Source organism: Homo sapiens, chromosome 19, assembly GCF_000001405.40.
Source record: "Homo sapiens chromosome 19, GRCh38.p14 Primary Assembly".
NCBI lineage: Eukaryota > Metazoa > Chordata > Mammalia > Primates > Hominidae > Homo > Homo sapiens.
The window spans coordinates 32,739,357-32,763,771 of NC_000019.10; the positions used below are offsets into that span (position 1 = coordinate 32,739,357).

Below are 24,415 nucleotides of genomic sequence, written 5' to 3' on the forward strand. Positions count from 1 at the left end.
CTATCACCTGGCTGCTCTCTGCATCTCCTGGCTGCTCTCTGCATCTCCTGGGGTTCTCTCTCTATCACCTGGCTACTTTCTGCATCTCCTGGCTGCTCTCTGCATCTCCTGGGGTTCTTCCTGCATCTCCTGGGGCTCTTTCTGCATCTCCTGGCTGCTCTCTGCATCTCCTGGGGCTCTCTTTGCATCTCCTGGGGCTCTCTTTGCATCTCCTGGCTGCTGTCTGCATCTCCTGGCTGCTGTCTGCATCTCCTGGGTGCTGTCTGCATCTCCTGGGTGCTCTCTGCATCTCCTGGTGCTCTCTCTGCATCTCCTGCTGCTCTCTGCATCTCCTGGGTACTCTCTGCATCTCCTGGGTACTCTCTGCATCTCCTGGGTGCTGTCTGCATCTCCTGGGTGCTCTCTGCATCTCCTGGTGCTCTCTCTGCATCTCCTGGGTGCTCTCTGCATCTCCTGGGTGCTCTCTGCATCTCCTGGGCACTCTCTGCATCTCCTGGTGTGCTCTCTGCATCTCCTGGTGCGCTGTCTGCATCTCCTGGGTGCTGTCTGCATCTCCTGGGTACTCTCTGCATCTCCTGGGTGCTCTCTGCATCTCCTAGGTACTCTATGCATCTCCTGGGTGCTGTCTGCATCTCCTGGGTGCTCTCTGCATCTCCTGGGTACTCTCTGCATCTCCTGGGCACTCTCTGCATCTCCTGGTGCTCTCTCTGCATCTCCTGGGTGCTCTCTGCATCTCCTGGGCACTCTCTGCATCTCCTGGGTACTCTCTGCATCTCCTGGGTGCTCTCTGCATCTCCTGGGTACTCTCTGCATCTCCTGGGTGCTGTCTGCATCTCCTGGGTGCTCTCTGCATCTCCTGGGTACTCTCTGCATCTCCTGGGCACTCTCTGCATCTCCTGGTGCTCTCTCTGCATCTCCTGGGCGCTCTCTGCATCTCCTGGGCACTCTCTGCATCTCCTGGGTACTCTCTGCATCTCCTGGGTGCTCTCTGCATCTCCTGGGTGCTGTCTGCATCTCCTGGGTGCTGTCTGCATCTCCTGGGTACTCTCTGCATCTCCTGGGTGCTCTCTGCATCTCCTGGGTACTCTCTGCATCTCCTGGGTACTCTGCATCTCCTGGGTGCTCTCTGCATCTCCTGTGTTCTCTGCATCTCCTGCGTTCTCTGCATTTCCTGGCTGCTCTCTGCATCTCCTGGGGTTCTCTCTGCATCTCCTGCGTTCTCTGCATCTTCTGACTGCTCTCTGCCTCTTCTGGGTGCTCCTTGCCGGCTGCTCTCCTGCCTGTCCTCAGTTTCCTTGTGCCCTTTAGGGAGGCTTGGCTGCAAGAAAGACACTTCCAGGAGGTAGAGAGAAACGCCTCTCTCCACAGAAGGGGGGTTGCTGGCATAGTCTCAGGGTGCACAGAGCAGAGCTTGTACTCATGTAGGTATCCCTGGTTGTCCTGCTTAAATGAGGGAGGGTGTGACCATCAATGAGGTTGGGAGATGGCTCAGAATGAGCTGTTGCCAAGATGGTGCTGTGCAGTCTTCACTGCTTCTGGGACCACACGTGATTGTGTTCGTTAGAATACACCAGCAACAAGTCAGTCTTGGTGTTTTGTGATGACTTTTCCATAGTTTCCCGTCCCAGGGTAAGAGGATGTCAGTTTAATAAATATGAGGATTCTGATTTCACTGAAGAAAGAGCAATACCAAATAGACTTGATTGTGATAAGAGGTGTCTATTTTGTTTTGTTTTGTTTTTTTGAGACAGTGTCTCACTCTGTCTCCCAGGCTGGAATGCAGTGGCGTGATCTTGGCTCACTGCAATCTCTGCCTCCCAGTTCAAGCGATTCTCCTGCCTCAGTCTCCCGAGTAGTTGGGACTACAGGCGTGTGCCACCACGTCCAGCTAATTTTTGTATTTTTAGTAGAGACAGGGTTTTGCCATGTTGGCCAGGCTGGTCTTGAACTCTTGACCTCAGGTGATCCACCCGCCTCGGCTTCCCAAAGTGCTGGGATTACAGGCGTGAGCCACTGCGCCAGCCAAGAGGTGTCTATTGAATAGAAGAATTTCATGGCATACGTGTTTATCAGACATTGGGAATTTGCAGTACTTACTGTAAGAGTAGGTGCCATTCGAGCTTGTGATCCTGCATTGCATACAACCGTAATCGCTGCAAAAACAATTATTGTGTTTAACTGTTTGGGGAGCTTTTGTTTTTGCGTTTGATGTTTTACATTTAGTTTGTTTTGGGTGAGAAAATCGTATGATTAAATAGAGCTTCAGGAGACTTCAGGGGGCCATGGGTGCAGCCACCTTTCCCTAACCTGTCTGAGACAGAAGATGGCCAGGCTGCCCAGACAAGGCATAATAGGAACCCTGGAAAGAAAGCCAGTTCATGTGGAAATAGTACGTGGAAGTGGTTTTTCGGCCAGGGGTGGTGGCTCACGCCTGTAATCCCAGCACTTTGGAAGGCCAAGGCAGGAGGATCGCTTGAGGCCAGGAGTTCAAGACCAGCCTGGGTAGCATAGTGAGACCTGGACCCTACAAAGAAAAAAATGTAAAAATAAAGTGCTCTGTCGTTTGCCAAAGAAGAATGGAAATTAAATTGCCAAACTTATTATTTAAAAATCTCAGTCCTGCAGCTCTTTTGTGCAAAGTTGGCAAATACTAATTATTAAACCATCTGTTCATTTACAGAAACTTTTAAGGTAATTTTGGTCATATATTGAGATTGATATTTAGAAAATCTTGAATAGAATTTGCTTTACAGGTATGTTCATTAGTATCCAGTATTTGTCCACCTAAGGAGCCTTATTAGACTTTTTTTTTTTTTTGAGACAGAGTTTTGCTCTTGTTGCCCAAGCTGGAGTGCAGTGGCACAATTTCAGCTCACTGCAACCTCTGCCTCCCAGGTTCAAGCAATTCTCCTGCCTCAGCCTCCTGAGTAGCTGGGATTATAGGAGTGCACCACCACGCCCACCTAATTTTTTGTAGTTTTAGTATAAGAGACAGGGTTTCACCATGTTGGCCAGGCTGATCTTGAATTCCTGACCTCAGGTGATCTGCCTAACTCGGCCTTCCAAAGTGCTGGGATTACAGGTGTGAACCACCACACCTGGCCAGGAGGCTTCTTAGACATTGTTTTCCTAAACTCCTACCCCTAGGTCATGAAATGTCAATTTCACTGATACACTATCTATGTGCCATATCCGTGCTTTATGTATCAAAAGAGTACGATTTTTTTTCAACCTCCCAAGAAGCAGTTTTTCCCTCTTGGCCAAATGTCTCCAAGCACTGTTGGTGGCCATATTAGAAACAGAAAGAATTGTTTTTTGTGTGTTTTGTTTTACATTAAGTGTATTAATAAAATAGGTATACTTTAACGGAGTATGTTATATATAATTTTCTATATAATGGAGCTGTTTCTGTTTTACTTTTTAGCATCCGAGTTGTAGTAGAATCGTTTATGCAGCTTCCCTATAGAGCAAAAAAATTCAGCCTGTACTGCACAAAGCCTGTCACATTACACATTGACTTCTGCCGAGACAGTACTGACATTGTGTAAGTACAGTTTCTTAAGTCCTTCGAATCATTAGTAAAAGCCTTCTATCAAGTGCACGATCTTTGTATGAAGTCAGTTCCTCTGTAGAAGTGCTGAGCAGGAGGTCTCTGTTCTTCAGGAGGGGCTTCTGAGTCAGTGTTTGTCTGACCTGGCTGTGGTTGAGGGGGTTTGGAGCAGGGCCTGAGCTCTGTGCTTCTTGCCTTTGTTTCAAACTTACAAAAAGTAATAAATTAACTGTAAAGAAAAATATTCATAAAACATAGGATCATGGAGTATTATACATGTGTACACGCGCACGCGCGCACGGTCTCACCCTTTTGCCCGGGCTGTAGTGCAGTTGCATGATCATGGCTCATTGCAGCTTCACCCTCCTGGGTTCCAGCAATCCTCCTACCTCAGCCTCCCAAATAGCTGGGACTACAGGCACATGCCACCATACCCAGCTAACTCCCCTCCCCTCCCCTCCCCCACTCCCTCTCCCCACCGCCCCTCCGCTCTCCTCCCCTGCTCCCTTCTTGCTTTCTTTTTTTGAGATAGGGTCTCACTATCTTGCCCAGGCTAGTTTCAAACTTCTGGGCTTAAGCGATCCTCTCACCTTGGCCTCCCAAAGTGCTGGGATTCCAGGCATGAACCACTGTGCTGGGCCCATGGAGCATTATAAAAGAGTCCATTGCAATTTTCTCCAGGCCCACATCTTTCCTCCTGGGAGGCCTCTGTGATCTTTTCCAGCTCTGAACTTGCAGGCCTTTGTCAGTGCTTTTACACACACTTATCTATGTGGAGCTTTTAACGAAAATTAGAACATACTGTCCTATTTGCAGAATTAACTTAAGAATATGTGTTGAGGCCAGGCGCGGTGGCTTACACCTGTAATTCCAGCACTTTGGGAGGCCAAGGCATGGGAATCACCTGAGGTCAGGAGTTCAAGACCAGCCTGACCAACATGGCAAAACCCTGTCTCTACTAAAAATACAAAATTAGCCTGGCGTGGTGGTAGGCATCTGTAATCCCAGCTACTCAGGAGGCTGAGGCAGGAGAATTGCTTGAACCCGGGAGGCAGAGGTTTCAGTGAGCCGAAATCGCACCACTGCACTCCAGCCTGGGCAACAAGAGTGAAACTCCATCTCAAAAAAAAAAAAAAAAAAGTATGTTGAAACTCTTTGTCAACATACGTATCTCTTCTTTCTACTTTTAGTCTTTTTCGTGGGTGGATGTGATTGACATACTTGCTGTATTTAATCATTCCCCTCTGTGTAGCCACTAGGTTGTTTCCAAACCATTTGCACAGTACAGTCCCGTAAGTATATGGATGAATCTGACCGGGCCTGGTGGCTCATGCCTGTAAGCCCAGCACTTTGGGAGGCTGAGGCAGGCGGATCACTTGAGGTCAGGAGTTCGAGACCAGCCTGGCCAACATGGTGAAACCCATCTCTACTAAAAACACAAAAATTAGCCAGGCGCAGTGGTACGCGCCTGTAATCCCAGCTACTCGGGAGACTGAGGCAAGAGAATCGCTTGAACCCAGGAGGTGGAGGTTGCAGTGAGCCAAGATTGCGCCACTGCACTCCAACCTGGGTGACAGAGTGAGACTCCGTCTCAAAAAAAAAAAAAAAAAAAAAAAAACAAAAGAATATAGATAAATCTGTATAAAATACACAGACGTAGAGGCATATATATATACGTGTGCCCCGCACCCCATCTTTGCTCCCTTTTTCTAGTGTTTGACTGCATCGCTAGTGTTTGTACAGGACAGATCCCTGCCCTGGGCAGTTCCCTCTCGGGTGCGGGCGCCATGTCTGCTGTCTTGAATGAGCACTACCGAGTGGCCTGACTTCTGCCTCCTGTGGTCTGTAGAGACATCAGCCCCATCCTCCCACCCGGTGCTCCTCCTCTTCTCCCTTCCCGGGACGATGGCATTATGGAAGGAAAAGCCACAGGGAGCAGTCCAGTTCTGACTCCACTGGCATGCCATGTTGCACTGTGTACTCTGAACTCAGAAGCTGCCTTCATGGGCTGTTTGGTGACCTTCCCATTCTCCACTCACCCCAGCCCCCACAGTTTCCTTGTGGTGGTGAGTGCATCACTCTTGCGGCTGGCGTGGCATCTACACTGATGTGAGGATAAGTCCCTGCTGAGGCCAATGCGCCCTACCAGGCCGCCCTCCAGCCAGCCCCCCCCACTACTCACCGAAGGCTCTGGGAGTGGGATTTGCTGCACACAGCAGCCCCTGCCCCCTGTACTGCCCTCTTTCAGAGCGGCCCACTGCCCACCCTTCAGGCATGATTGGGGCCCCTGTGTGTGCAACCCAGCTCCCCTCAGAGGCAGTTGGTCCTGTCTTTCTTGACCTTCTCTGCATGGGCTCTTCCCAGAACAAATGTGGGCTTCCGGGCCCTTCCCCACCCAACCTAGGATGCCCCCAGGGAAGGGCCTACTGGGGTTTGGTCACCTTCTTTGACATCTGATGCCTTTGTGTTTGTGTTTTATGCAGAACACCCTTTTAACGTGTGTATTACAGTTTTACAGATTTTGTCAAATTCCCCTTCAAAAAGACTAGCAATTTATACTGCCATCATTGGGGTATGGAAAGCACTGTTATTCCCACACAATATTGAATATCGTTAGACTTTCTAATTTCTGCTTGTTTGCTCAGTAAAAATGGTATTTTTATTTTTCTGACTTGCAAAGCTGTCACATGTATTCATGTGATTATTGTGTATGTGTGAAAGAGGGAGAGAGAGAGAATGGCTGATGTGGTTATTCTGTGTGTGTGAGAGAGAGGGAGAGACTGGCTGATGTGGTTATTCTGTGTGTGACAGAGAGTGGGAGAGAGACTGGCTGATGTGGTTATTCTGTGTGTGTGTGAGAGAGAGAGACTGGCTGATGTCATTCTGTGTGTGTGTGTGTGTGTGTGTGAGAGAGAAGGAGAGAGACTGGCTGATGTGGTTATTCTGTGTGTGTGAGAGAGAGAGTCTGGCTGATGTGGTTATTCTGTGTGTGACAGAGAGTGGGAGAGAGACTGGCTGATGTGGTTATTCTGTGTGTGTGTGTGAGAGAGAGAGAGACTGGCTGATGTGGTCATTCTGTGTGTGTGTGTGTGTGAGAGAGAGAAGGAGAGAGACTGGCTGATGTGGTTATTCTGTGTGTGTGAGAGAGAGAGTCTGGCTGATGTGGTTATTCTGTGTGTGACAGAGGGGGAGAGAGACTGGCTGATGTGGTTATTCTGTGTGAGAGAGACGGGGAGAGAGACTGGCTGAAGTGGTTATTCTGTGTGTGAGAGAGACGGGGAGACTGGCTGATGTGGTTATTCTGTGTGTGAGAGAGAGAGAGAGTCTGGCTGATGTGGTTATTCTGTGTGTGTGAGAGAGAGAGAGTCTGGCTGATGTGGTTATTCTGTGTGTGACAGAGGGGGAGAGAGACTGGCTGATGTGGTTATTCTGTGTGTGACAGAGAGGGGGAGAGAGACTGGCTGATGTGGTTATTCTGTGTGTGACAGAGAGGGGGAGAGAGACTGGCTGATGTGGTTATTCTGTGTGTGACAGAGAGGGGGAGAGAGACTGGCTGATGTGGTTATTCTGTGTGTGACAGAGAGGGGGAGAGAGACTGGCTGATGTGGTTATTCTGTGTGTGACAGAGACGGGGAGAGAGACTGGCTGATGTGGTTATTCTGTGTGTGTGAGAGAGAGAGAGTCTGGCTGATGTGGTTATTCTGTGTGTGTGAGAGAGAGAGTCTGGCTGATGTGGTTATTCTGTGTGTGACAGAGGGGGAGAGAGACTGGCTGATGTGGTTATTCTGTGTGTGACAGAGAGGGGGAGAGAGACTGGCTGATGTGGTTATTCTGTGTGTGAGAGAGACGGGGAGAGAGACTGGCTGATGTGGTTATTCTGTGTGTGAGAGAGACGGGGAGAGAGACTGGCTGATGTGGTTATCCTGTGTGTGTGAGAGAAGGAGAGAGACTGGCTGATGTGGTTATTCTGTGTGTGTGTGTGTGAGAGAGAGAGAGAGAGAGGGAGAGACTGGCTGATGTGGCTATTCTGTGAGAGAGAGAGAGGGGGAGAGACTGGCTGAGGTGGTTATTCTGTGAGAGAGAGGAGGGGAGAGACTGGCTGAGGTGGTTATTCTGTGAGAGAGGAGGGGAGAGACTGGCTGAGGTGGTTATTCTGTGTGTGTGAGAGAGGGAGAGTGACTGGCTGATGGGGTTATTCTGTGTGTGTGAGAGAGGGGGAGAGAGACTGACTCATGTGGTTATTCTGTGTGAGAGAGGGAGAGACTGGCTGATTTACTTGTTCATATGTTAGATTGGGTTTTCTCTTGGGTTGTTTGCCTTTTCATTATTAGTAATCTACTACATTTTTCTTTTTTAAAAAAGCTAATTATTAGGTAATTCTTTGTGTGTAACAAGGTTTTAGAACCACTGCCTTTACTGCCTTTTAGAAATCCTTTGTAATTCTCTTGAATTGTTTAATATCTTTCTTATAAGAATAAAAATAACCAACATTTTTGAGTAATGATTATGTCCAGGCACTGGGCTAAGTGTTCTATGTACATTATCTCATTTGATCTTTAAAAGAATTCTTGGAGGATGGTGGTGGCATCTCTGGTACATAAAATCAGAAGAAACATAGAACATCATTCTGACCTGACATTTTATTTTTTTCCTTGCTTCCAAGTTTCTCCTCTTTCCCCACTGCCTACAGCTTTTCCTACAATTTTCTTTGCAAAGCATAAGAAAGATGTAGAAAGGACAAGATGACAGGGGTAAAATGGGAGCCAGTGAGAGGGCGCTAGGGTCAGCAGAGTGAGGAACAGTAGTTTTATAGTAGCCGAGACCCAGTGCGTTAGCTCACGCCTGTAATCCCAGCACTTTGGGAGGCCAAGGCAGGAGAATCACTTGAGCCCAGGAGTTTGAGACCAGCCTGAGCAACATAGCTAGACCCTCTCTCTATTAAAAAAAAAATTTTTTTTAATCGCTGAGTGTGGTGGGGCACACCTGTAGTCCTAGCTACTCAGGAGGCTGAGATGAGAGGATCCCTTGAGCCCAGGAGTTCAAGGCTGCAATGAGCTGTGTTCATGCCACTGCACTCCAGCCTGGATAACAGAGAGAGACCCTGTCTCAAAAAAACAAAATGAAACAAAGATAGTATCTGGCTCTCCCATGACTGCCTGTGAGGGTGTCGGTGTACCAGCATGTGTCGCGCCCTCTCTGTGCCAGACTGTGTTAGACACCCCACACTCAGGATCCCTGTCCCAGGAGCTTGTGTTCTGGTTGAGGAGACTGATTTGTCTGGGGATGGTGGTGGTGTGACAGACAGTGCAGTGGTGAGCACAGGTTGGTCTCAGTGGGGCCTCTGTGCTATGAGTCTGCACCGGTGCAGGTGACAGTGTTGAGACGAGCGTGTTGCAGGATGCAGTGGGATCCTCACCCCCAGAGCAGGGCCAGTGCCAGGTGCCCCATCATCTGCATCACGTGTTCCATATGTAGTGTGAGAAATGTCCAGTGCATGGTTTACAAAATGCTGTTGGTGTGCTAGCCTCAGATTTTTATGTAATGGAGTTGCATCTGTTCACTGTTCCAGACCTGCCAAGAAGTGGGACAATGCAGCTATTCAGTACTTTCAGAACCTTCTGAAAGGTAAGCCAGTGCCTGATCACTGCAGCCTGCCTGGAAGTGACACCCACAGAGGCCTCAGCTTCTGCTGCTGGCGGGGGTTGGAGATGCCCCTGTTGGCCAAACGGCCCTCCTCAGAGGAGTTCCCTAAGCTACCTGGGGCTTCCTCCAGCTCAAGTGCCACAGTAACTCTGCACCCCTAGTGGCAGTGGATGTCAGTAATTGACAGCTGAGATCAGCAGGGGGCTGTTTGTGCAGGGGAACCCTTACACAGTAATAATACCTGCCTCTTCGTTTGCATAAAAGCTGCGGCGCTGCAAAATAAATTCATGTGGATTTTATTGTACCAGCAATTGATGAAAAACCTAGCATTTTTAGTGAGCAAGAGATAGTAAATGGATATTTATTGTGTAATATTCATTACTTCTAATTTAAGATGCATAAAATGTCTTCAGCTGTTCTTTTTATTTTATATCAGTGACTATAAACAGTGTCTTTTGTGGGATCTGTCTTAACCTCTGGCAGTCAGATACCTGGTTTTAGTGATAGGGTTGGTGGATGGGAAACACCTGGGGTGCTGCCTGGTGCCTCGTTGGGTCCTGGCCCCACTCCTGTGCTGTGTCATCATCTGGGTAGAGGAGGAGCCAGACCCTTTGACCTGGGAGCAGTGGGAGGCTGGGAGGTCACTGTGACTGGAGTTTTGGCCCCTGTGAGCCATGGGGGCTGCTGGGAGATGAGAATGCGGGTCTGGAGGAGGCCGGCCACTTAGTCCTCAGTGGCTCAGGCAAGTGACTTAGCCTCTGAGCCTGGTCTCCTCACCTGTGACATGACCACTGTACTTAACCTTGAAGGTAGTGGTAAGAACTCAGCGAAAGAAGGTTTCTAAAGGACTTAGCACAGCACCTGGTAGGTGGCAGTGATGCTGCTGCTGCGGGGTTTTGAGTCTCTAAGGGAGTAGCCGGGTGCTGCACTCCGTGGGGCTTTGCAGGGTAGAATGGACCTCAGATGAAGGCCTGGGACTGGAAATCTGGGTTTGGGAGGCATGGAGAAGAGAGGACCACAGGGTGGCACAGGAACCTGTTGACAGGGACAGGACCCATAATCCACTCCACAATCAGGAGTGCCTTTTCCTAACATGCTCCCCCTGGTCCTGCCCGAGGAAGACATTTGGGCACTCTTAAGTGGTTAGCAGAGGTTACTAGGTGGGAAATCGTCATGATTGTTTCAAATATACTTTTAACATCAGCTGATTTGTGTTTTCATTTATGCTATTTAGCAACTACCCAGGTGGAAGCCAGATTATGTGCTGTGGAAGAAGATACATTTGAGGTTTACCTTTATGTAACTATAAAAGATGAAAAAGTAAGTGAAAGAATTGTATTTTTATAATATTTCATCATTTTAAATTTTACTTTAATAAAACAGAATAAATGCCAAGAAAAACACTGTAGTTCGTACAGCATAGAAATTGTCTTAATCTCTTAAGGTCTATCTTAGACCCGAAGTTAGCCAGGTCTGTGTTTTCTTCTTTTGATTACTTTAAAAAATGACTTTGGCATTTTATTTAAACATGGTCAAGAAATTATTCCTATAGTGATGAGCATGAAATGTTGTTTTCTTCTCAGGGAACATGATTTTTATAAATATACTAATTTGCTGTAGCGTTAGTTCACTGCCTTTCCCCCTAGACTTTCTCACTGTATGTAACGTGCTTGCTGTAAATAATTCAGATCACAAGCAGAAAGAAAGCGGACATCATATGTGAGTGGCCCCTACCTCTGCCAGGTGCCAGCTGCTAGCATTTTGGCCTCTGCCCTTTCTGAAGGATGGCTCAGGGCACACCTCAGCACCAGGCAGAGGTGGACAGAAGGGGCACACATCCAGGGCTGCTCAGAGCCCATGGAGGGTACCTTAACCATGGATTTTTTAAAAATTGTATTTTGAAATAGACTTACAGAAGAGATGCAGAAATAGTGCAGAAATTTTGGGATATGCTTTGCCCAGGTTGTCCTGATGTTAACATAGCACAAAACCACAGTACAGTTTTTAAAACCAGAAAAGTAACATTGATAAAATACCACTGAAAACCTGCAGGCAGGTGAATGTTGACAGTTTCCCGGCTGATTTCCTTTTTCTGATGTAGGATCTGCTCCAGCACCTCCCACTGCGCCTGTTTGTCATGTCTCCTTCCCCTCCTCTGGCCTGTGACAGCTCCTCAGTACTTCCATGCCTCTCATGGCATTGACTGCTTTGGAAGAGCAGTGGTCAGTGGTTTTGTAGAATGTTCCTCAATTTGGTTTGCCTGATGTTCCTCATCATTGTATTAAGGCTATGCATTTTTGGCAAGAAGCCCACAGAAGTGATACTGTGCCCTTCTCAGTGCATCCCAGCAGGGGTTTATGACGTCAGTATGTCTAATTACTAGTGATGTGAATGGTTTTTTTCCTTCAGCTTCTAAGTTTGGGGTACCTGTGCAGGATGTGCAGGTTTGTTACATAGGTAAACATGTTCCATGGTAGTTTGCTGGCCAGATCATCCCGTGACCTAGGTATTAAGCCCAAAACCCATTAGCTATTCTTCCTGATGCTCTCCCTCCCCCCTCCCCACCCCCCGACAGGCCCCAGTGTGTGTTGTTTCCCCCAGTGTCCATGTGTTCTCATCATTTAGCTGCCACTTATAAGCGAGAACATGCAGTGTTTGTTTTTCAGTTCCTGCATTAGTTTGCTGAGGATAATGGCTTCTAGCTTCATCCATGTCCCTGCAAAGGACACAATCTTGTTCCTTTTTATGACTGCATGGTATTCCATGGTGTGTATGTACCACATTTTGTGATGTGGATGTTGATCACCTGGTTAATGTGGTGTTTGCCAGGTTTTTCCTGTACAGAGATGTTAGTTTTTCCTTCTGAAATTAATAAGTATCTTGTGGGGGCCTACTTTGAGGCTGCAGATAGCCATTTCATCAATGATTCTTGGCTGTGAAAGATATTACTGTGGTGTATACCTGTTTCATCTTTCCCTCTACATTTTTCTCCTCTCCTCTCCTCTCCCTTCCCTTCCCCTCTCCTTCCTTCCCCTCCCTCCCTTCCCCTCCCATCCGTCTCTCTCTGTCTCCTAGGTTGGAGTACAGCGGCACAATTGTAGCTTGCTGCAGCCTCAACCTCCTGGGCTCAAAGGATCCTCCCACCTCAACTTCACAAGTAGCTGAGACTATAGGTGGGCACCACCATGCCCATGAGTTGCGATCTCATTATGTTGCCCAGGCTGGTCTCAACAGGCAGTCTTCTCGCCTTGTCCTCCCAAAGTGCTGGTATCACAGGTGTGAGCCACCACACCCAGCACCTTCTGCATTTTTAATTTTTATTATTTATTTATTTATTTTTTTGAGATGGAGTCTCACTCTGTTGCCCAGGCTGGAGTGCAGTGGCGCAATCTCAGCTCACTGCAACCTCTTCTTCCCGGGTTCAAGTGATTCTCCTGCCTCAGCCTCCTGAGCAGCTAGGATTACAGGCAAGCATCATCACACGCAGCTAATTTTTATATGTTAAGTAGAAACGGGGTTTTACCAAGTTGGCCAAGCTGGTCTCGGACTCCTGACCTCAAGTGATCTGCCTGTCTCAGCCTCCCAAAGTGCTGGGATTACAGGCATTAGCCATCACACCCAGCCCCCTTCTTCATTTTTTCTTTTTTTAGACAGAGTTTCATTCTTGTTGCCCAGGCTGGATCTCAATGGTGCGATCTTGGCTCACTGCAACCTCCGCCTCCCAGGTTCAAGTGATTCTTCTGCCTCAGCCCCCTGAGTAGCTGGGATAACAGGTGCCTGCCACCACACCGGCTAATTTTTTGTATTTTTAGTAGAGATGGGGTTTCACCATGTTGGCCAGGCTGGTTTCAAACTCCTGACCTTAGGTGATCCACCCGTCTTGGCCTCCCAAAGTGCTGGGATTACAGGCGTGAGCCACCGTGCCTGGCCCCCTTCTGCATTTTTAATTGGAATTTTATACCAAAGAACCCTCCCTCCTCCCCCATATATTAATTATTCGATAATTTGTATTAGTATGGACTTTTGGAAATGTATTTTATTTGGGGAGTTATAATCTATAACTATCATTATTGCCTTGCTCACATTACCTTGGATTCTGGCCATTAGGTGCTCCTTCAAAGGGGCTTTTGTATACTTTCAATGTGCCCCATCATTACTTGAACACTCTTTACTCTCTGATGCCACAATGTTTATCATTTTGTTATTTGCCAGACCTAGCCCTAGAATCAGCCACTTCTTCCTTTTTTTTTTTTTTTTTTTTGAGATGGAGTCTCACTCTGTCGCTCAGGCTGGAGTGCACTGGCGCGATCTCGGCTCACTGCAAGCTCCACCTCCTGGGTTCATGCCATTCTCCTGCCTCAACCTCCCGAGTAGCTGGGACTACAGGCACCCGCCACCACGCCTGGCTAATTTTTTGTATATTTAATAGAGACGGGGTTTCACTGTGCTAGCCAGGATGGTCTCGATCTCCTGACCTCGTGATCCTCCCACCTTGGCCTCCCAAAGTGCTGGGATTACAGGCGTGAGCCACCGCGCCCGGCCACTGGAATCAGCCACTTCTTCAAGCAGCTCTGGTTCCTTTTATTGAAGAATGATATTTAAATATCTAGATGAGGGCACTTGGTGTGCTTGTTCCAACTGGGGTGTCATGATTGTAGGTCCTCTCAGCAGAAAATATTAGGAAATATATGTATGTACTTGCTCCCATGCACACACAAATCTATATTTCTGTATCCATCTGTACACATATTAAGAGCTTTGATATCTCTGATTTGAATCCAGCACCATAGGGTTCATTCTTACCCTCTCCTTTCCTTATTTATTCATTTATTTTTTGGAGACAGGGTCTTGCTATGTTGTTCAGGCTGGCCTTGAACTCCTGGGCTCAAGTGATCCTCCAGCCTCACCCTCTCAAGTAGTTGGGACTATAAGCGCATACCACCATGCCTGGCCTCTTATTCTTTTTTTTTTCCTGAAACGGAGTCTTGCTGTCACCCAGGCTGGAGTACACTGGCGCGATCTCTGCTCACTGCAAGCTCCACCTCCTGGGTTCACACCATTCTCCTGCCTCAGCCTCCTGAGTAGCTGGGACTACAGGTGCCCGCCATCACACCTGGCTAATTTTTTTTTTTTTTTTTTTTGTATTTTTAGTAGAGACAGGGTTTCACTGTGTTAGCCAGGATGGTCTCGATCTCCTGACTTCGTGATCCACCTGTCTCGGCCTCCCAAAGTGTTGGGATTACAGGTGTGAGCCACCACGCCCGGCTGGCCCCTTATTCTTAATGCCTTTCTCCACCAGTGAGAAACCTACTCTCGTTGGCCGCAGTCTACGTATTTGATTCATCCATGTATTCACATTAAGTAATTTCAGGATTGCTAACCCACACTCCTGTGAAAACAAAATTTGTATTTAGTCTTCACATTATGCAGCCAAAATACTGTTTGCCAAAGTTACTTAGGTTGTTTTTTCTCTTTCGCACCTTCTTCAGTGTGATTATGTTATTCTTTTGTAATGGGGTTCATTTGTTACTGCTTATATTGCATGTTGGGTTCCCTAAATGTTCCTCACATCCTGGTTCATTTTACCTATGACTTTTCATTACTTATTTTATAACTTAGTAAAAATACCAAAATCAGCCAAAGGCTGTGACTTACACCTGTTTAATCCCAGCACTTTGGGAGGCTGATGTGGGTGGATTGCTTGAGCTCCGGAGTTTGAGACCATCCTGGGCAACATGGTGAAACCTTGTCTCTACAAAAAATACAAAAATTAGCTAGGTGTGATGGCTTGCACCTGTAGTCCTAGCTACTTGGGAGGCTGAGGTGGGAGGATCACTTGTGCCTGGGAGGCAGAGAGCCAAGATCACACCACTGCACTCCAGTCTGGGTGACAGAGCAAGACCCTGTCTCAAAAACAAACAAAAAAAACCGCCAAAATATTGGCTGCAGAACCAGTCGTTTTTTTTCATTTTTTTAAACCTGAGAGATCTATCCTGTAAGGACCAGTCTTGTAAAATATCTTTTTTTCAAATAAATTCTCTATAAACTTGCTTTCTTCTTGCTTTTCAAAAGTAGATCTCTTTCTAACCATGTAGGTTGTATGTTGATAATGACTCTATCTTTTTTTTTTTTTTTTTTTTTTTTGAGATGGAGTTTCGCTCTTGTTGCCCAGGCTAGAGTGCAATGGCGCAATCTTGGCTCACCGCAACCTCTGCCTCCTGGGTTCCAGTAATTATCCAGCCTCAGCCTTCCCAAGTAGCTGGGATTATAGGCATGCGCCACCACGCCGGGCTAATTTTGTATTTTTAGTAGAGACGGGGTTTCTCCATGTTGGTCTTACTTTAAGGTGGTAAAGTGCAGAAGGCAGGGAGGTTCGTGCTTAGCTGAGAGAGCTTATAATGCATGCATGAGATCATAACTGCCGGAGGAAAAAATGTGGGCCAGCAATCCTTTACCAGCTCCCAAAGGTGGCAACAGGATGTGTCCCAAGGTGTTTTCTTTTTTGGTCTGGCTTCTTTCATTTGGCAAAATTATTTTAAGATGCATCCACGTTTGTTGTTGTTGCCAAGTCCTCTTCCATTGTGTGGATATACTACAGTGTATTTACCCATTAACTCGTTGATGGATATTTGGGTTGTGGCCATAGGCCCCTTACAGATATTTATGTACAAGTCTTCCTGTGGATCTGTGCTTTCATTTCTCTCGAGCATTACCTAGGAGTCAAACTTTTGGATCATATTGTAGGTATTAAGAAGCTGCCATATTGTTTTCCAAAGTGGTGGACTATTTTACCTTCCCATCAGCAATGAGAGTTCTAGTTCCTCCATGTCACTTGTGTAAACATTCGGCTAAGTGTGCAGTAGCACCTCATTGTGGTTTAAATTTGCGTTTCCCTAATGATGGTTTTATATGCTTATTTGCAATCTTCAGACTTTGATGAAGCAGACATTCAGATTGTTTGCCCATATTTTAATTGTGTTGATTTCGTTTTATTGAGTTTTGAGAGTTCCTTATATATTCTGGATACATGTCATCCGGATACTTGATTTTAAAAGAATTTTGCCTCATCTGTTTATTCTCTTGAAGAACAGAAATTTAAAATTTTGAGCAAATCCAATGTAACAGTCTTTCCTTTGATGGTTCGTGTTTTGTCTCTGTCCTCCCACCAGGCTTTTGCCTGGCCAGGTAGTTTTAGTGCTACAGTGCGTATGTCCAAGAAGACATCTCATGTGTTTCACACAGATGCTTGCTGTTTTTCCTCATCAGGATTGGTGGGAAGTATTTGGTTTACCAGAGCAGGAGTCAAATCTGTTTCTCTCAGATTATGTTCTGTAAAATAATTTCTCTGAAGGTAGAACTTTGGGGTTAAGTTTGGAATATTTCCTTTAAAATCGCTTGACTATATTTGTCTTATTAGTCATGAAATGTTTAAAATTTTACAGGTTTGTGTTAATGATGATCTTGTTGCAAAGAACTATGCTTGTTATATGTCACCTACAAAGAATAAAAACCTTGATTATTTAGAAAAACCAAGATTGAATATAAAATCAGCACCCTCCTTCAATAAACTCAATCCAGCACTTACACTCTGGCCAATGTTTTTGCAAGGAAAAGATGTTCAAGGAATGGAAGGTGAGTAGATTCTCATCATATCAATTTCCCTTACATTGTTTTATTAATAATCTTAGTGTATAGATATAAGTTGTACAGACTTTTCCCCACATGGAGACAAAGACTTGGACTCTGTTTAAAGTTTAATCCTGATGAGGCTGTGACACATTGTAAGGTCTTAAAGTGTTACAGTTTGTGTTTATGAGACCAGGAAAAAAACTGCCCTCGATTTCTGTTTTTTTTTTGAGACGGAGTCTCGGTCTGTAACCCAGGCTGGAGTGCAGTGGTGTGATCTCGGCTCACTGCAAGCTCCTCCCCCCAGGTTCACACCATTCTCCTGCCTCAGCCTCCCGAGTAGCTGGGACTACAGGCACCTGCCACCATGCCTGGCTAATTTTTTTGTATTTTTAGTAGAGACAGGGTTTCACCATGTCAGCCAGGATGGTCTCAATCTCCTGACCTCATGATCCGCCTGTCTCAGCCTCCCAAAGTGCTGGGATTACAGGCGTGACACCGCGCCCGGCCTCAATTTCTTATTAACATTGAGTTATGTTGTTAGAAGTCCAAATGTTTGCAATTTAGAGATACTAAGAAAACAAATTTTGAATATTTAGACTTTAGACACCTTTAAAAAAAAGAGCTATTTATCACAAATAACCCTTAGCATAAAAATATAAGAGCTAGTCACGGATTGTGGAAATAATTTCCAATGTTTCTGTCCACATCCAGTTTTTAGTCCCCTCACCTTGTGTCCCCTAGTCAGGTTTCCTGTAACCTCAGAGCAAAAGCAAGAGCAGAAGTAATGTACTAACGAGTTCACATTTTTATTTTGGGCTTTATTTCATGCTTTAATTCTGAAATTTATTCTTTCTATCAGATTCACATGGTGTAAATTTTCCGGCACAATCTCTGCAACATACATGGTGCAAGGGTATTGTCGGTGACCTCAGGCCAACAGCCACAGCACAGGGTGAGTTCTGCTAATGTGGTTTATTTCATAGGCAGCATGAAAAAAATATTCTTAGCTTTTTAAAGATTAGAAAGGTTGTCTAGAAAGGCCATGGTAATTCTTTCTCTTTTCTTAATTTAATGTAACCAATTTGTGATGTAGATCCTGAAAGAGTTCATGTGTCCTGCATTTCATACTTAGAAATTTTACTGTCACGTAAAGAACATAACAGGCACCAGTTCATGTGCAGGACTGATTTATTCCAGCCTAGCCATCGACCAGTAATCACTGTCTGTCCCTAGAGTGTACATATGTATTTATTATTGATTTTTCACTTAGGCAACAGGATGCATAAAAATAGGGAAGACATGCTTATGAGGGCAGAAATACGTAGTTTTAAATTCCAGTCTTCAAGATATTTAATGAATTGGAATTGCTGGGTGAGGGTGAAATTTTTCAGCCCCTTTGATGACTGGCTCGCCCTCTGTGGTGGTTCCTCCACCATTTCCCTCTTATGCTGGATGTGTGTCCAGGAAGGCCTCACTTCATGTCTTGGATAGGTTCTTGGAAACTGACTTTAAGTGAAACAATGTTATAACGAAACAACCTTGAGCAAAGCAACTTAATTTGAGGGGCTGCTGTACTTTGTTTCCCTTAAATCTGTGGTTTCCAAGAACCTACTGATGAGTCAAGTGAGGACTTACTGATACCTGTGGGTGTAATATTTCATGTGTATCCATAGTAAACCACAACTACATTAAAGCTTTAGCCAACTAAAATATTTCCTGTACTTCAGATTATTTTCAATTACTTTGGTAATGTTGCTTATCATAGAGAAAGAAAGATACAAAGGGTTTTTCTCAGCCACTTTGCCAACTAGGGTCCTCCATGGCTGGCAGTGCCCACCCCGTCCCCGACCTGGGCCTCACTCAGCCCTGGGCCTGGCCGCTGGAGGCTCCCTACCCACTCAGCCCATCTGTGCTATAGATTGTATCCGCATTTGGCAGTTCCCAAGCTCTTGTCCTGTGTCCAAGAAGAATAAGGTTATGCTGACAGAAGGGTGAGGATGGGCAGAGAAGAATTTTATGGAGCGATGGAATAGCTCTCAGTGTAACCTCATTCTTCTTGGATGGGTGGTTTCTCTCTCAGTGTGTCCGGGCTGGCACTTTTTATGGACTCAGAATGGGGAGTGCCTGCTGATTGGTTAGTGAGTATGCAAAAAAGGTTAAAGCAAACACACCACTCAAAGGTGGGTATAGCAGTGTAGAAAACCAACTAGGAAAGGGTAGGTGCATATGAAATAAGTGAAAGGTAGACATCAATCAGAGGAAAAAATGCCAAACGGAAAGACAGTTTCTCAATCCAGTCTGTGTATTACCCGAGACTTGTAGCTAGGCTTTAAACTGGTTTCTGCTTGAAAATTGGTTTTCACCAGGGACCCACCCCATCTCGCTAGGCATTTGACTGCCTTTTGCTGCTATCAATAGCCCAGATTGTAAAAACCTGTCATCTCACTAACTGCTTTTTAAAATTGTAGAGTCAGGGCCAGGTGCAGTGGCTCACACCTGTAATCCCAGCACCTTGGGAGGTCAAGGCTGGCAGATCACTTGATGCTGGCAGTTCAAGACCAGCCTGGCCAATATGGTGAAACCCCGTCTCTGCTAAAACTACAAAAATTAGCTGGATGTGGTTGCACATGCCTGTAGTCCCAGCTACTCGGGAGGCTGAGGCAGGAGAATTGCTTGAACTGGGAGGTGGAGGTTGCAGTGAGCCAAGATTATGTCATTGCACTCCAGCCTGGATGACAGAGTGAGACTCTGTCTCAGAAAACAAAATAAAATAAAATTGTAGGCTGGGCACGGTGGCTCATGCCTGTAATCCTAGCACTTTGGGAGACCGACACAGGTGGATCACCTGAGATCAGGAGTTTGAGACCAGCCTGGCCAACATGGTGAAACCCCGTCTCTACTAAAAATACAAAAATTAGCCAGGCATGGTGGCGTGTGCCTGTAGTCCCAGCTACTCAAGAACTTATTTGCTGCATGATGAAATGAGAAACTAGGATGTAAAAAGGAGGAGTGAACCCTGTAGACTCTTTTGCATTGAAGGTAAGGGTGGCAACACAGTGTAGAGAGAACAGGCTCGGGGCTAGAAGCCAGGAGACATGTGTTCTAATCCTGGGTCTACCACTGGCTTGGTGGGAGCCTCGACCTTCCAAGAGCCTGCAACTGCCCATATGTACACGGAGGGGAGGTAGGGGTAGACTAGAAGGCCCCTGGAGTTCTAGCATGTCTCAGTCTGGGAATTTTTTTTTTTTTTGAGACGGGGTCTTGCTCGGTTGCCCAGGCTTGATTGCAGTAGTGTGATCACAGCTCACTGCAGCCTCAACCTCCTGGCCTCAAAGGAGGCTGCGGCAGGAGAATCACTTGAACCCAGGAGGCAGAGGTTTCAGTGAACCAAGATTGTGCCACTGCACTCCAGCCTGGGCGAGTGAGACTCCGGCTGAAAAATAAACACAATAAAATAAAATATTATAGAGCCTTTCTTTCCAAAGTTTTCCAGACGGTATTTATAAAATTTTTATTTCACAGAAATGGGGTCCTACTATACATACCTCTTTGTAATGTATTTTACTTAGTATATGGCTGAATTCCCTTTCTAGGTCAAATATATCCGGTATAATGTGTTTAAGGACATAAACTCTGATGTGAGACTGCCAGGGTGTCAGGCCGCTTCCTTCTCTGGGACATGGGATGTCATCCCCATCCCCCTGGGAGTTACTGAATGGGCCATCGTGCAGCGTGCTTGGCTCAGCGCCTGGCCTGTGGCAGCCTCAGCGCATGTGGCCCCTGCCCCAGATTCTGATATGCCTCTTGTAGGGGGTCCCCAGGTGAGAATTACAGCAGAAGGTAGCACCTGTTGTTGATGGGCATGTATTCTTTCCATTTATATTCTTTTTCCATTGGAGGAATAAAAATACCAGGCACTACATCATCGTGTTTAATTATTGCGTGGCTTTCCATTGCTTGATATGTCAAAATTATTTTCAGGAGTCCCAGCTTGCTGGGCAGAAATTGTTTCCTGCTTATTACAATCAGTACTGGAATGAACTATGCTTATCTTTGAAAAGGAAAAGGTTATGGTGAACAATAACAAAAAAGATAATGTGAGGTGTAACTGAATTGGCATGTAAAAAGCAGAATTATTAGATGTTACTTTTCTAAGTATAGATTTCCCTTTCCTTTAATTATTGTGAGAAGGTACTTCAGTTATATTTCAGTTAGTTTTTGGTGTTTCTCTTTGAAGTTGCCTAATATTTTTGAGAATCAAAGTATAATACTTGGCTAATACTTGATTTGCTAATACTTGATTAAACAATCACATATTACAGAAGGGCTACAGTGAAAAATAATTTTTTTATTTGCAACCTCTTCTTACCCCAGGATGTCCCCTAGAGATAAACTCACTTTTTAAAGTTGTTTATTTTGGTATTATCTCCAGATTTTAAAATAATTGTGTATATTTTACTATTACTAGGCTTCTTCACTTTAGACATTGTCTTGATTTCTAGGGAGATTCACTCTCGTGCCCCTAACCCACATTCATTCATTCATCAGATATTTATGACGCCCTCACTGTCAGGTGCTTTTCTAGGGATTCTTAGGAGGGAAACAAAGTCTGTGCTTCCATAGAGTTTACATCCATCTTCTCAATAAATTTTTTATTTTACAATAATCACAAACTTACAGAAAAGTTGGAGAGTATTACAAAGAACTTTTTTCCCAAACCATTTGAGAATAAGTTGCTAACCTGATTCCCCAATACTTGAGTTTTTCCTAGAAAGAAGGACATTCTCAAAAATATCCACAATGCAATCATCAGAGTGTGAAGATTAACACTGATATATTGTGATCATATAACTCCCAGGCACCATTCAGGTTTTGCTGGTTATCAAAGAGACGTCGTTCAGCATCACTTGTTGCATTTAGAGAAGACGTTTCTTGTTTTTGTTTTGTTTAGTTTTTGAGACGGAGTCTCACTCTGTCTCCCAGGCTGGAGTGCAGTGGCACATCTCAGCTCACTGCAAGCTCCACCTCCCAGGTTCACACTATTCTCCTGCCTCAGCCTCCCAAGTAGCTGGGACTACAGGCGCCCGCCACCAAGCCCAGCTAATTTTTTATTTTTTTATTTTTTGTATTTTTAGTAGAGACGGGGTTTCACCGTGTTAGCCAGGATGGTCTCGATCTCCTGACCTCGTGATCCGCCCGCCTCGGCCTCCCAAAGTGCTGGGATTACAGGCATGAGCTACTGCGCCTGGCCGAGAACACATTTCTTTAGTCTTTCCTCTGGAACATTTCCTGGGTCTCCTTGATTTTCATGACCTTGCACTTTGGAAGATTACAGACCTATTATTTTGTAGAATGTGTTCTGGATTTTGGTCATTCTAATAGGGGTGTAGTGGAATATCATTATTTTAATTTGCATTTCTCTAATGACGTAGGATGTGAGCATCTTTTCATATGCTTATTTGCTGTTGGTATATCTTCTCAGATGAGATATCTCTTCAGGAGTTCCTTATTTATTTATTTATTTATTTAGAGATGGAGTCTTGTGCTGTCACCTAGGCTGGAGTGCAGTGGTGTGATCTCAGCTCATGGCAACCTCTGCCTCCCAGGTTCAAGCCTCCTGCCTGAGCCCCGCGAGTAGCTGGGATTACAGGTGCCCGCCACCATGCCTGGCTAATTTTTGTATTTTTAGTAGAGACGGGGTTTCACCATGTTGGCCAGGCTGGTCTTGAACTCATGAGCTCAAGTGATCCACCCACCTCAAATGATCCGACTGCCTCGGCCTCCCAAAGTGCGGGGATTACAGGCATGAGCCACCCACCATGTCCGGCAAGGATTTGGCTATTTTAAATTGACTTTTTTGTCCTCTTAGTGTTGAGTTTTAGGAGTCCTTTGTACATTTTGGATAACAATCCTTTTTTTACATGTGTCCTTTGCAAACATTTCCTCCTAGTGTGTGGCTTGTCTCTCATTCTCTTGACAATATCTTTCACAGAGCAGAAATGTTTAGTTTTAATGAAGTCCAGCTGATCAGTTGCTTCTTTCATGGATTGTGCCTTTGGTGTTGTCTCTAAAAAGCCATTGCCATACTCAGGGTCATCTAGGTTTTCTCCTATGTTATTTTCTAGGAGTTTTGTATTTTGCATTTTTCATTTAGATCCATTTGAGTTGATTTTTGTGAAGGGTGTAAGGTCTGTGCCTAGAGTCACTTTTCTGCATGTGGATGTTGAGTTGTTCCAGCACCATTTGTTGAAAAGAGAAGGTTGGGAGTTTTATTAGAGAAATCTTACATATTGTTTTGAAAGGAAGCTCATTGACGCTAGAGAAGTTTTTGGGAGCTGGCAAGCTCTGATTGGTAGGTAATGGCGGTAGGAAAAACTAGTCTTAAAGTCATGGCAGGTTATTTCAGTAGCTACCAGGTAAAACTGGTGTTGGGATTCTAGCAGTGCACCTCAACAGCGGGGCCAAGAAGGTGCTCTGTGCCTCGAGTACTTTTCCTCTGGCCCCTCGACTCTGATTTAGTTGGAGATGAAAGAATGACCTAGTTTGTATAATTAACTTTCACAGGACCATTGGGTTTAAAGTGATTATTTATATACAGTCATGTGTTGCTTACTGATGGACTATGTTCTGAGAAACACGTCATTAGGTGATTTTGGTGTGCAAACATCATAGGGTGTACTTACCCAACCTACATGGTGCAGCCTACTACACATATAGGCAATATGGTATAGCCTATGGCTCCTAGGCCACAAACCTGTACAGTATGTTACTGTATTGAATGCTGTAGGCAGCTGTAACACAATGGTAACTATTTGTGTTATCTAAACCAATTTAAACGTAGAAAAGATAGTGATTATGCTATGATGTTGCTAGGCAATAGGAATTTTTCATCTTCATTAAAATCTTATGAGACCACCATCGTATATGTGGTCTATTGCTGATGGAAGGTTGGCATACGGCACGTGACTGGAGTTGGATTACTGTCTGCCATGTTTATTACTGTATTTGATTTATTGCCCTTGTTTTTTTGTTCCTCTTTTGACTTTGCTCTTTTTCTACCATTTGTGATTTTAATTGGGCATTTTGATACCATATAAATGGTAGGAGGGGTGGAGAGAGGGAAATAAATGTCTAGAGCCCTGTAATTAGAGTCAGTCTTCTAGGGAGCCTGTACCTTTGGGCTGCACGCTTCTCAGGTGCCCCTCAGCATCCCTCACCTCTCACCTTATGTGGGACAGGATGGCTGGAAGGGACTGAGTTGTGTTATTTTCCTCCCCCACCAGAAGGTTAAATCGGGCTGTATTTCCCTTCCTCTAGGTTAGATAGGTTCTGATAAACTCCAGTAGTTTAGGCTCTGGTTCAATAGTTTCTCCTGAGGTCAGGCCCTTTTGGGAAGGAACAGCACGCCCTTTATATTTCCAAGTAGTTACTTTTCCCCTCTTCCTGTCGAAGCACGAGATTTTCCTGTGGTATTCACTGTGAGAACCTGCTAGAGCTCCAGGAGGCAGAACTCACAGAAGTGTGGCACCCAGCCCCTGACCCCGGAGTTTTAACTAACGGAGGTGTCCGTGCCGACCCTCCAGCAAATTGTCA

The 24,415-nt window shown here is 45.5% G+C and overlaps 1 protein-coding gene across 11 annotated transcripts in view, besides 1 other annotated feature; it reads left to right on the plus strand.

The window, feature by feature from the left end:
• The window catches only part of TDRD12 (tudor domain containing 12), a 109,814-nt gene that overhangs the window by 19,590 nt on the left and 65,809 nt on the right, over positions 1-24,415 (plus strand). For 8 of the 11 annotated variants that reach the window (NM_001437947.1, XM_011527473.4, XM_011527475.3 and 5 more), the window contains exons 4-8: positions 3,425-3,544; positions 9,120-9,175; positions 10,428-10,513; positions 16,636-16,825; positions 17,682-17,774. In NM_001437947.1, the coding sequence (NP_001424876.1) occupies positions 3,425-3,544; positions 9,120-9,175; positions 10,428-10,513; positions 16,636-16,825; positions 17,682-17,774 (545 nt within the window). The remainder of the gene's footprint in view (positions 1-3,424; positions 3,545-9,119; positions 9,176-10,427; positions 10,514-16,635; positions 16,826-17,681; positions 17,775-24,415) is intronic. The other 3 variants (XM_011527474.4, NM_001438800.1, NM_001438801.1) reach the window with 1 other exon arrangement.
• Positions 9,117-9,196: an enhancer, noted in NCBI's record as "active region_14433". NCBI's record gives its function as "activates an Ori minimal core promoter by ATAC-STARR-seq in GM12878 lymphoblastoid cells {active_cell/tissue: GM12878}" and the evidence as "EXISTENCE:reporter gene assay evidence [ECO:0000049][PMID:35858748]".